Below are 13063 nucleotides of genomic sequence, written 5' to 3'. Positions count from 1 at the left end.
ATATGAAGTTACTTTGTTAATAAATACTTTGATTTGTGAATGAATCATCAACTGTGGCTAAAAATATTAAGTTAAAGGAAGATAGGGAACTTTATATTAGAGGGATCAGGATGATCCCACTTGAATCCATTGATTCATCTTAGCATCACTAAAAGTAAGAATACCACACATTGTATCCTCATGGGTGATGGAATAGGACATACACAGGCTTCTGTAAAAATACTCTTACCTAAAAAAAAATTTGCCACTAATATACACAACTCTCTATATTTAATTACCAATTTACAAGAAATATATGAGATACAGGAACAAGGTACCTCTTCCAGGACAATACCACTTGCAGAGCAATAGATCAAGTCCAGAATCTGGGACACTTTACAGGACAAAGTACTCGGTTTCTCCAACAAATCAATGACATGGGAAAAAAGGAGTGGAGGGATTGTACAGAATAAGTGACTAAACAGACATAGTAACCAAATTATATTATATTTGGGAAACTTACATGATTCTGATTTCAAAAAACCAATTCTACTAAGACAATCTTGGCCCAACTGAGAAATTCTGAAATATGGACTGTATTGGATAATATTTAGGAATTGGTATTAATTTTGTTAGGGTTGTTAATGAATGGCCTAGTAATAGTACTTTAAGAAGTCCTTATTAATTAAAGACAATTACTAGGGAAGAAAAAATGTTAGAGAGAAAAACAAGATTGACAAAATGTTGATGTTGTTGAAATTAAGTTCATTTACTATATTCCCTATTAATCTGTGTATGTTTTAGTAAGACATTTTTAAAAATAAAAGAAAATTTTAAAAAAGTAACTAGAGATTGCAAGATTGCAATGTGAACTGTTAAAAAAAATTATTACCATTTTCAACTGCTAATCTGTGTGGATGGAAATTTCCTTGATGGTCTGCAACAAAACCAAAATACAAAATCACAATACAAAAATAAATTGGAGGCTGAGACATATAGAGAGTATCATTTTTATTCATAATCATTCATTTCAATATTACACTCCTTATAATAGCTTCATGGTTCAGATTGACTTTATAATAAGAGTATGCTATAAATTCAAATGTAAAATAGCTTTATTTTGAATAATAAAACCTTTATTTTGAATAATAAAACACTTCTCTTATCTGAAGTTCTCAGTAAGATATGTGGAGGTGGAGAGAGTCTAAGACCTTAGAAAAGGTTTGAAAATTTTCTGCCCTAGACTATTCCTTTCACCTGTTTCAGCTTTGCTTTGTACAAAAAATGTTATGATTTACAACTCAAAGTGAAGAGGTTGCTATTAAGTATCAAGAAAGGTATTGCATATAGTTAAGAGAACATGATAATCTTCTTGCAAAGAATAAATTAGAGTCTGGATGTGGAAGAATACTTGGTCTAGAAGACCTCTTTTAAAAAATGGATTGCAGCTGGGCACGGTGGCTCACACCTGCAATCCCAGCACTTTGAGAGGCCAAGGCAGGAAGATCACTTGAAGTCAAGAGTTCGAGACTGGCCTGGCCAACATGGTGAAGTGCCATCTGTACTAAAAATACAGAAATTAACCAGGCGTGGAAGCACGCACCTGTAATCCCATCTACTTGGGAGGCTGAGGCACGAGAATCACTTGAACCCAGGAGGCAGAGGTTGCAGTGAGCCAAGATTGTGCCACTGCACTTCAGCCTGGGCAACAGAGCAAGATTCCATCTAAATAAATAAATAAATAAATAAATAGTGATTGCAAAAGTACTTGCAAAGGAGACCAGGAATTTCCTCAGATAATGGTCCAGAGCTTTTCCATAAAGAATGGAAGAGATACCTAATCCTGAAAAAGGTTGCAGTACCTTTCATTCCTCCATTTAAGAAATATTTATGAGATGCCTACCTTGTATCAGACACTATACTAAGCACTGGGAAAACAGAGAAAAATCCCTGCCCTTATAGATTACATTCCTAGTAGAGGCAAGACAAGAATAAGCAAAATAGTAAATTACATAGCATTTCTGAAGATAAGTGCTATGGATAAAAGTAAACCAGAGTGGAGGATAGACAGTATTAGAGAGAGAGGTTTCTATTTTTAAAAGGATGGTCAGGGAAAGGCTGAGGAAGTACTCGAGTAGCCTGAAGGGGAGTAAAAGAGCAGTTTCGTCATCTCAGAAAAGAAGACTCTAGGCGGAAAGAGTAGCAGTGCCAATGCCATGGTGAAAGCATGCCTCAGATGTCTGAAGAACAGCAGAGGCTCATTTGAGCAGATTAAGTAAGAGAGAGAGAGTGGCTGTAAATGGAGTTGGAGAGGCAACAAATGGGTCAGATCATGGCAAGCCTCACAGGACAATCCCAAGACTGCCTTTTACTTTGGGTGGCAACGGGAAGCCACTGGAGAGTTTGGGGCAGAGAAGAGATCTAACTCACGTTTTTATAAAATCACTCTGGCTGCTGTTCTGACAATACTGTAAGGGGAAAGATAGAAGCAATCCATTAGAAGGCCAGGACAGTTTGCAAAAAATGGCCTCCAATTGCTCCCAATCTCTGTATACAAACTGCTTTACAAAGTGACTTTGCTGCACCCCCTCAGAAAAAAAAGTAGGCTAATTTTCTCTCCCCTTCATCTGGCTTGACCTGGTGACCTGCTCTCACCAACAGCAGGGAAAGTGAAGCTGTAGAAGTTCTAAGTCCCGGCCTCAAAAGGCCACATAGTTTCCTCTTGTTATCTTGCTTCCATTACACCACTACGTAAAGAAACATAAACATGAGATAGTTTACTGACCACGTAGAGCAGAGATAAGCCATCTCAGCTGAGGCCTCCAAACCTACCAGTGCCGATCACTACATGAGTGAGCACGGGCAAGACCAGCAAAAGAGCTGCCCCACATCTACCCCAAGTCCAACCTAAGCTGCCAACCACAGAATCACAAACTAATACATAACTGTTGGTTTAAGCCACAAAATGTTGGGAGTAGGTAACAATTGATAACTAATATAGAGGCTACTGCAAGATCCGGACATAAACAACGGGGGCTTAGACTAGGGTGATAGCAGTGGGTAGTGACAAGTACTTGGATTCTAAATACATTGTGAAGGTATAGCCAACACACTTTCCAAAGTAACAGTATATATATATAGATTGTGAGATAAAGAAGAGTCAAGGATGATACTCAGGTTTTTAGCCTATCTCATAAAAAGGATGGAGTTTCTGTTAACTGAAATAGGAAAGATTATAGGTAAAAAAGGAAATTTCAGAGTTTAGTTTGAAATATATATTAGTCATCCAAACAGAAAATGCTGAGTAGTCACTGGATATACGGAGTCAGGAGTTCAAGGGAAGGCGAGGCTGAAAATATAAATTTGGAAGCTAGTAGGGTATTACTAGTATTTAAAGCTAATACTTAGGCCAGGTGCCGTGGCTCACACCTGTAATCCCAGCACTTTGGGAGGCCAAGGCGGGTGGATCATTTTTCGAGATCAGCCTGGCCAACGTCTCTACTAAAAATAAAAAAATTAGCCTGGTGTGGTAGTGCGCACCTGTAGTCCCGGCTACTCAAGAGGCTGAAGCAGGAGAATCGCTTGAACCCGGGAGGCGGAGGTTGCAGTGAGCCGAGATCGTGCCAGTGCACTCCAGCCTGGGTGACAGAGGGAGACTCCATCTCAAAAAATAAATTGGCCGGGCTTGGTGGCTCATGCCTATAATCCCAGCACTTTGGGAGGCCGAAGTGGGCAGATCACGAGGTTAGGAAATCGAGACCATCCTGGCTAACATGGTGAAACCCGTCTCTACTAAAAATACAAAAAATTATCTGGGCATGGTGGCGGGCACCTGTAGTCCCAGCTACTCAGGAGGCTGAGGCAGGAGAATGGCGTGAACCCGGGAGGTGCGGCTTGCAGTGAGCCGAGATGACGCCACTGCACTCTAGCCTGGGGGACAGAGCGAGACTCCATCTCAAAAAATAATAATAAAATAAAATTAATTAATTAATAAATAATAATAATGCTAATATTTAAAGGCTGAATGATATGATCCAGAAGTATAAGGTCTAATGACTGACCCCTGAAGCACTCCAATGTTAACAGCACTCTTATCAGGGAGATAAGGAAGAACCAGTAAAGGAGTCTAAAAAGGGACAATGACGTAGGAGGAAAACCAGGAATTGTGGTATTTTTGCTAATAAGGGAAGAAAGTGCTTTAAGAAGCAGAGATTGGGCCAGCACTATGGCTCACACCTGTAATCCCAGCACTTTGGGAGGCCAAGGCAGGTGGATCACTTGAGGTCAGGAGTTCAAGACCAGTCTGGCCAACGTGGTGAAACCCCATCTCTACTAAAAATACAAAAATTAGCTGGGTGTGGTGGCACATGCCGGTAATCCCAGCTACTCAGGAGACTAAGGCAGAAGTATCACTTGAACCCAAGAGATGAAGGTTGCAGTGAGCCGAGGTCACGCCACTGCACTCCAGCCTGGTCGACAGAGTGAGACTCTGTCTCAAAAATAAAAATAAAGAAGCAGAGAGTGACTAGCTGTCTCAAAAAAAAAAAAAATGCTGACAGGTCAACTGAGAGGTAAAAATTTGGAACAGACCTTTAGATTTAGGAAAATGAAAGGGCCAGGCATGGTGCCTCCGCCTATAATCCCAGCACTCTGGGCCCAGGCAGGAGGATTGCTTGAGGCCAGAAGTTCAAAACAGCCTGAGCAACATGGTAAGACCCCCACCGCTACAAGAAATAGAAAAATTAGCCAGGTATGGTGGCACATATCTGCAGTCCTAGCTACTCAGGAGGCAAGGCAGAAGTACCACTTGAGCCCAGGAGTTCAAGGCTGTGGCGAGCTATGATCACACCACTGCACTTCAGAGAGGGCGACAGAGCAAGACTCTGTCTCTAGATGAAAAATAAAGTCACTTTTAGAAAAGTAACTTCTCAGAAAAGTTACTTTTAGTAAGAGTAATTTTTTGATAGAGGTGAGGGAGAAAGCCTGATTAAAGTGGGTTTAAGAAAGAATAGAAGGAAAGAAATTGGACAGGATTATAGTTATACCATAAGGGGTAACAAATAAATTGTACAGTGGCTTAAGCAGGAATGGGGTCAAAAGCTATTATTTTAACATGGAAAAATACCAGCATACTTGCATAATGAACGGAATAATCCAGTAATTAGGGGAAATGCAATGTTCAGAGAGAGAGATGCTGGAGCCAAATCCTTCGGAAGGTAAAAGGAATAAGACCTAGTGCATAAGTGAGGCGCTGTCCTTAGAAACAGACTCTAGGTCAGAAAATAACAGATGGCAATCTTAGGTAAATGCAGGTATGCCAATCTCCCACATTCATGGCAATTGCCATTCACATTAAGGCATTTCCTATACCTCTGGGCCCAGAATTGACCTAAAAATACTCAACATAACTTCCTAATCCTACCAATAGATAAGAATTGGCACACATGATGAAATGTATTTGCAAAAGTATTTTGGGAATTCAAAGACCAGGAAAAGGTACATCAAAGCAAATAGGCCACACTGTCCATCCTTTCTCCGACAGATAACACAAATATTCACTGGAGACATATATGTTATTTTTAAATTTAGAAACAGTACTATGCCAACTGTCCTACTCTGACAGAAACTATAATGACTTGATGGGTAAACGTTAACAACAGAAAGCTTCATCAAAATTTAAAGTCCCAACTACTAAAAGCTAGCCATATGCTTCAGAGAAGCGCTGTCACCCTTATACCCAAATCTAAGCTCTTTCTAACCTGTCTTCTCCTCTAAATAATCTTTACTCGCTCTCTCACTCCTTCCCAAGCTTTTACACTGACACCATAGTCAATAAGCTTTCTTATATCCTCAGCCTCTTCACTAGATGCTCCCCATACCTCCTAGGCCTAATAGAAATTAAACTCCCCTTCTTTGGTGGCCCCCACCAGTAAAGGCTAATCATCCTTCCAAGTCCCAAGGCCCAGAAGAATGTTTCCAGACCACTTACCCCATCCCACCCCCACCCGCTGTACTTTTGAGGGCATAACATCTAAGTATCTTCATCTCTCATCTATAGTGATCACCACCATAGGCAATCTAAACCTCGGAAATTAGGATCACATTCTACCCTTCCTCCCTGGGTACCACAGTCATCTACAGTCATCTGGGTGAGCAATTCATCGAATGCACCACCAGTCTCATTGTTCCTGAACACCTCCGTTTCTACCATCTATATCCACAGCCAAACCCTACACGCCATCTGCACCCTAAAAATCTTAAATTCCAATATTCTACTCTGACCAGAGGATTTCTATCCTTTTCATTATCTCCCTTTTAGCTACAAACACTTGTATATTTACTTCATCCAGACTTTTAATCCTTTGAACCAATTATGTTATCTCAATCTTTCAGCTCCTCCTGGCTCTATCGTCATCCCTATCCAGTCTAAACTTCACATTCCATCACTCTGACCATTCTTTCACCAATAGTTTCAACTCCTTTGCAATCTTACCATACGCACGTAACAAAATCCAAATACTGTATCAATCCAACTATTTATCATCTCTGGTTCTACTGAATTTTGCTGCCAAAAGTCACAGAATCATATGAACTAGTATTATTACAAATTAATGATCCAGGCCTATCTGGGAAACCTTCCAAAAACTGTAGTTAGCTCTTTCTCCTATTCCCTATGGCATCTGACCAGTCTCTTCTTGTTGGATTCTCTCCCTCCTTATCTTCTAGACATCCACTGTCATTAGGCTGTTCCTTCTGTCTTTTTCACTGGGTCATCTTTCCTACAGGGTAGTGTTTCCCAGCGTTTCCCTTCTGCTTTATTCTTTCTTATTCTACAAACTCTCTTAGGCATCATCCATTCTCACATTGTTTTAACTACCTATAAATTGATAGCATCCTAATCTCTATCTCCAGCCTAGAATCCTCTCTTTAACTCCAGGCCAAAGCAGCCAAATACCCACTGAACAGCACCAATTGTGTGACCTAAACCCATGTCCAAGACTACTGATCTTATTCTCCCCATACATCTGATATTGCTCATGTGATTCCTATCTCGGCAAGTCATAAACCTAGGAGGTATCCTTGACTCCATCACTCCTTCATCCCCTACATCCATCTGGCCACTAACTCAATCACCTTAATATATCTGGAATTCATCCTCTTCTCTCCAGCAGCACTGCATTTTCGGAGTTCTGTCACATGTAATGCAAATGTCTGCCTTACCCCACTACAATTCATTCCTCACATTGCCTCATGAAACTGATGTTAACTTTCTTCCACTTAAAATCTATTACTCATGGATCAACATAGCCTCCAGATTAAAGCTCAAAATGGCTAACACGGTGTGGAAGAGAACTTTCATTATTTACCCTTGTTTACTTTTTAAAGTTGATCTATTCTCTATCTTAACACATTAAGGGTCTATGTCCCGTTTCTAACCTATCTATTTGTCCTCACTGCTTTCTTGTGCCCAGAATGCCTTATCCTCTAACCTCACCAACTAATTCCTACTCACTTTCAAACTTCAATTCAGATGAAAATTCCTCCATAAAGCCTTCTCTGAATCTCCTCAAACCTTGCACACAGTTTTCTCTATCCCCCACTATACTATGTGAACGACTAATTATAATGTTTATCCCATTGTATTTTGGTGTTGTTTATGAAGTCCATGCAATACTGTAAGTTCCTTAAAGATAAGTTAAGGACCTAGCACCAAAGTAGTTGCTGTCTTTGCTGAATGAAGGAATAAATAAAAAATAATGAATACAATACCTTTAATAACTATGAGTCTTTAAAAATCACATTTACTTAAGTGTTTCAACAATTAAAAACATTTAATAAAAAGTTTCCTCCATTCTTCTCCACGTGTATGTCCTAATAGCATATACTAAAATCAGGTTTGGTTACATAAACCAACATGTGCAATGATTGGGAAATAGAGTAGAACTTAAGAATAAATTATGAAAGCAGGTAGGCCAAATAGAAAGGTTTGTCAAGAGAGAAGGGAAAGATACACCCTGGCAACCAAAAAAACTTCATAAAACTACAGTTACAACACCCACAATTACTGTATTACATTTGTTCAACATATGTATCAGCCAAATTAGCAAGAACTCATCTGACCAAAAGGAGATTAGAAGATACCTTCTCCAGTTTAGGAGCTTCAGTGGATGCTTCATTGGTCCCCGGGCAAGTAAAAAGATAAATCTTTAAATAATAGTAATAAACTGACTATCTATGCAAGTTGGATTCTCAATTTCCTTTGGCCTAAAGAAATGTTTTCTTTCATGAACAATGGAAAGCTATACAGTATTTAAAGTCAAGGGTTTTGGAACATCTTCAAAATATATAAAACTAAAGTAACTCAGACTAATTAAATGAAAGCCAATATAAACTTTTAAAATCATAAACACAATTTTATTACTTTCAATATGACCTGAGTAGGGGGAAAAAAAAAAAAAACTATGAGGCCAGAAGTACTTAGAGGGTTACAAAAACTACATTTCAATCCATTGTTTGAAAATAGATGGGCTCTTCCACATCACTTAAAACTTTGTTGTTTCAAATCATTTACATGGAGGAAATTCACAAATATCCCTTGTCCTATCAGCTTAGCAAATCTTGTTTCTTATCATGTGGAAATAGTAACAAAACCTCCATCAATCTATTACTAATTGTGAATCACAGACTTATACTCATATAAGTATACCATACTTTATTATACCATGCATCTCTAGATCTATAGATTTCTCATCTCCTAAAGAAATACTTACTACCCACTTGATCAAAATTTAAATTATCACCCTAATTTTCTTTTTGTGCTTAAACCAAGTTCTTTGTTATACATCAAGAAATACTGATTAAGATCAAGATTTGTTATAGACTAATAATCCTTAAACTATTATTTCCTTACACTTCCTCCAAATATAGTTATTATTTCTCATTGTGGTTTTTTCCCGCTAGAAGGTTAATGTCCTCAGCTCTTGAATTTTCCCCATTAACCTTGCAATCTTGATCAGGTCCATTTCTAGAACTGAAAGATGTAACACCAACGCGGAGGGATCACTTGAGGTCAGGATTTCGAGACCAGCCTGGCCAACATGGTGAAACTCCGTCTCTACTAAAAATACAAAAATTAGCTGGGTGTGGTGGCATGCGCCTGTAATCCCAGCTACTTAGGAGGCTGAGGCAGAAGAATCACTTGAACCTGGGAGGCGGAGGTTGCAGTGAGCCGAGATCGCAGCACTGCACTCCAGCCTGGGCGACAGAGTGACCCTGTCTCCAAACAAACAAAAAAATAGCAAATGCAAAATTTTAAGAAGTTATATTTTCTTAAATTTTCCAAACTCCTAATAGTGATATTAACAATTTAATTCAACTAATCACTTGTGGACAATATCCCAAAAGTATCATGAAGCTAAGAATATTATGTCTCAGACTGTTTCATAAATCATTTTAAACGGGGAAAAAGGCCAAACGATTTACCGGTAAGCACCATCAATCAATCAACAAATGAAAAACTCTGGTTATACGTCCATGAAAATTTTGATTTCAAACTATTTATTACAGGGCGCGAGGCTGTGTTCCGCCTCCTCCAGCTCCTCCTGATAACCTTTTGGTTATCAGGCGTCAACTGGAGACAACAATCAGTTAAAATCCAGTAAATTTGGGGTTAATGAAACAAATGTTAAAATAGATATAATATTGATAAACATTAGCCAAGAGATGGTAACTACCTAACATTGATTAAGTAAGCAAATAATCAAGGCAGAGGTTTTAGCTTCCACTAATCTATAAAAGCAAGTGAAAATGCTTTGAAAATTGCATTTTTATGCAATTGTTTCAATATCATACCTTTGTATGTAACATTAAAAAGCTCATGATTACTTCATTTCAAAATTCAGATGAGTCACAGTGCTTTCTACGCAGGAATTGGATGTGAATCAAAATTGTAAACATGCACTTGCTTGGTAGTCAAAAAGTGAATGTGGACAGATACAATGTTCGTTGACACAGTAAAACATAATCATAAAATGCATCCTGTGTTTTTAAAATAGTTACTTCCTGTTAACACAGTTCAGGAAACATGCCATCTACCCTCCTCTCCTGGAAAATCTCAAAATTATACTAATCCCATTCCTCTTCTTACAGATAGGCCACTGAAACCTGGAGTCATTACTGATACAGTTATCAGGATTACACCCTCAGAGCCACGATGGTTTCAGGGATACTAGAACCTGAAAATAACAAAAAAAAAAAAAATTTCCAACTCAAATCTAGACAATAAAACTAACATATAAACTGGAATAAAACGCAGGAAATGCCGATTTTAATACCTGGTATGAGGCTGACCATTAAGGCATCCATCAAAAAAGTTTGGAATGTATGAATGAATGACTGCATGAAATTGGCAGGATTTCATTCATTTCAAAAGCTCCAAATTCAGGAACCACACTGAGATATCAGGACGCCACAGCTGAAACTAAAACTCATGAAGGGTAAATGCAACATAACTGCACGTCTCCACGCGTTAGCTGCTGCGAAAATTTCAAAACATACATCTAACATACTCTTTCTTCAAGTAATTGCCGCAAGTGCGGACGGAGCCAGAGAACTAGGAGACTGAAAACAGGCCCTGCTCACCCATAAGCCTTTGCATTATAAGTGGACATGATCTGAGTGAGTCACCGGGAATGAGAAGGAGACAGTCACCCCAGGCCAGGCAGGACGCGGCCAGAATCTCCTGCTCTGCCCCCAACTAGGGAACCGGTCGAAGGAGAGTGGGACGACTGCAACCTGCTGCAGCTAAGTATGCAAGGATCGCGCCGACCGGCTTCCGAGTCGAGATCCCACTAAGTCCCACCGCAGTCACCACAGCCAGCCCTGCCCAGGTATCTCGGAGCTCCGTAACCTCAGAAGGCCTAGTCCTCCAGAAGCTGAGAGCCCCAGCAGGACCGGACGAGGGCAAAAAGCCCCCTCCCGGCTGCCCCTCGCCGCGACGCGGCCCTGCCGCCACATGCTCCACTGCCCCGTCTCCCAGCTCAGCCCCAGCCCCGCAGGGCCTCAGCCGCCCTCCATGCAAGCCGACCGGGCCGCAGGCGGCGCGACCCGGCGGCTCCCGAGCAGGGGTGCAGCGGTGGCAGCCCGCCGCCCCGCACGGCTTACCTCCCTTCTGCCACAAGCTCAGCCCAGCGCCGGCTGCCTGACGTGGCCCGCCCCGCCGCCTCGAACGCCCGGGGGCGGGGACTGCAGGAGAGAGCCAATGGGCTGCATATCGCGAGGCCCTGTTCCGCCTCCTCCGGCTGGGGCCCGCCCTCCCCGGCTCGCGCGCACGCGCGTCTAAGGCCCGGGCCGCGCACTGCGGTTGAAAGGCGGCGTGGGCGGCGGACCCGCGCTCTGCAGCCGAGCTGGTGCGGGGAGGGCTGCGCGCGGGGGCTGGCTGTGGAGCAGCACCGCAGTGAGGAGTTAGCCCAAGGAAAATCAGATTAAAGGAAACTGCCTAGAGATGCCACTGCAGCGTGCCCGGGTAGTCCTGTTGGCAGCCTGCCCCTATGCAGCTTTTGGCAATACAGAACAGCTTCTTGGTATTTGGAGATTTTGTTTCTCGGGGGAAATAAATAATACTGATAACATTAAGGATTCAGAAAATTTAAAGCAGACAGCCGACTTGCCGCGAAGACGCTTCGTTCTTCGCCTAATAGCTACTTGGTGTCTTTACTTCATTTGGCCAACACATAACACTGCAGCTCTCCACGCCACTGTGGTATATCCACTTGTTAGATAGTCCTGAGGTAGTTCTAGCCCAAGTGTTTCTGCTGATCTAATCTGGGGGGAATTGGCGCGAGTAATTATTCTGTTACGATTTTGCGCAATACTTACTGAATGATAAACATGTATTTTCTCGTGGGGCGGGGCAGGGGCTCCCACGTGAGAAGGCTGTAACAGACAGACAGCAGCCACGATGAAACACGCTGAAAAGAGCCAGCAGAAAAAAACGAGGAGAGACTGGTATGACGGAGTGGAATTCCGGTTGTGGATGACAGAATGGAAATTTTACGCAAGATGAAAGAGTTAAGACAAATTACTCTAAAAATATCTGACTTAGTTGTTTCTAAACCCTGGGGCACCCTTAGGAAAAAATAAAAATAAAAAAACAAGTGCCTGGGCCTCATCACTTGGTTGAAAAAGGTCTGCTGCCAGATCTTGACATTGATATTTTTCTAAGTTTCCAAAGTCATTTTAATGTGTAGACAAGAAGTTCTGTTTCTCATTTGTAGGAAGAATTTGGTTCCCCATCACCTCAGAAAAGTAATTATGTATCACAGACCGTTAACAGTTTTCCCAATAACCAACTATGCATTCACCCTCTAAGAATTTATCTAAATTAATCTTGGGGCCAGGTGGGGGGGCTCACACCTGTAATCCCAGCACTTTGGGAGGCCGAGGAGGGCGGAGTTCAAGACCAGCCTAGGCAACGTGGTGAAACCCCATCTCTACTAAAAAAAACATACAAAAATTAGCCCGGCGTGGGGTTGCGCGCCTGCAGTCACGGCTACTCTACTCAGGAGGCTGAGGCAGGAGAATCGCTTGAACCCGGGAGGCGGAGGTTGCAGTGAGCCGAGGTGGCGCCACTGCACTCCAGCCTCTGATGGAGTGAGACTGTCACAATCAATCATTCAATCAATCAATATTGAACCTACTTAAAGTTATTCAACCTCTGTTATCCTTTGCTTCAAAGGAGTTTTATAAGGCTTATAATTCCCTTTTTATGGACTTTGATGATACTCTCTTTCAGTCTTCCAAATGCACCAGTATTTCTTTTAGGACTATTTTAATATTTTTTCTTCTATTCCTATATTTCTTGAGGCTCATTAGTCAAAATTATAATTAAACACATAACTCTGTAAACAGCGCTGTTCTAAGTATATAAATTTATTTAATCCACAGAACAACTTTATGAGGCAGTTACAGTTATTACCCACATTTTATAAATAAGGAACCTGAAGTACAGCAAGTGAAGCATCTTGACCAAGGTCATGCACCTACCTAATGGCCAGGCCAAAACTTGAATCCAAGCACCCTGGTG

At 41.3% G+C, this 13063-nt stretch overlaps 1 protein-coding gene and 1 long non-coding RNA gene across 18 annotated transcripts in view, besides 3 other annotated features; one reads left to right on the top strand and one right to left on the bottom strand.

The window, feature by feature from the left end:
- Positions 1–13063, bottom strand: part of FOCAD (focadhesin) — a 340326-nt gene that overhangs the window by 300515 nt on the left and 26748 nt on the right. For 5 of the 17 annotated variants that reach the window (XM_017014856.2, NM_001375567.1, NM_001375568.1 and 2 more), the window contains exon 1: positions 11143–11177. The exons of 3 other annotated variants lie outside the window; for them this stretch is intronic. Coding sequence is in view for 7 of the 14 variants with exons in the window: in XM_047423532.1 (XP_047279488.1) it covers positions 872–1004 (133 nt within the window). In the remaining 7 variants the exon portion in view is untranslated. Of the gene's footprint in view, positions 1–871; positions 10215–10313; positions 11178–13063 lie in introns of those variants that run through there. 9 more of the 17 variants (XM_047423532.1, XM_047423535.1, XM_047423534.1 and 6 more) reach the window with 6 other exon arrangements.
- On the top strand, positions 10686–12134 carry FOCAD-AS1 (FOCAD antisense RNA 1). The gene is made up of 2 exons (NR_121601.1): positions 10686–10868; positions 11895–12134. It is a non-coding gene; the product is annotated as an FOCAD antisense RNA 1 (long non-coding RNA).
- Positions 10735–11475: an enhancer, noted in NCBI's record as "H3K27ac hESC enhancer chr9:20683960-20684700 (GRCh37/hg19 assembly coordinates)". NCBI's record gives its function as "activates a minimal SCP1, AML or CMV promoter by ChIP-STARR-seq in naive H9 embryonic stem cells {active_cell/tissue: H9 hESC(naive)}" and the evidence as "EXISTENCE:reporter gene assay evidence [ECO:0000049][PMID:30033119]".
- Positions 10735–11574: a biological region, named in NCBI's record as "H3K27ac hESC enhancer GRCh37_chr9:20683960-20684700".
- Positions 10875–11574: a silencer, noted in NCBI's record as "silent region_19802". NCBI's record gives its function as "represses an Ori minimal core promoter by ATAC-STARR-seq in GM12878 lymphoblastoid cells {active_cell/tissue: GM12878}" and the evidence as "EXISTENCE:reporter gene assay evidence [ECO:0000049][PMID:35858748]".

The sequence above is a fragment of the Homo sapiens genome, chromosome 9, assembly GCF_000001405.40.
Source record: "Homo sapiens chromosome 9, GRCh38.p14 Primary Assembly".
NCBI lineage: Eukaryota > Metazoa > Chordata > Mammalia > Primates > Hominidae > Homo > Homo sapiens.
The sequence above is the reverse complement of the archived record's forward strand: the minus strand, read 5'-3'. Positions and strand labels throughout refer to the sequence as shown.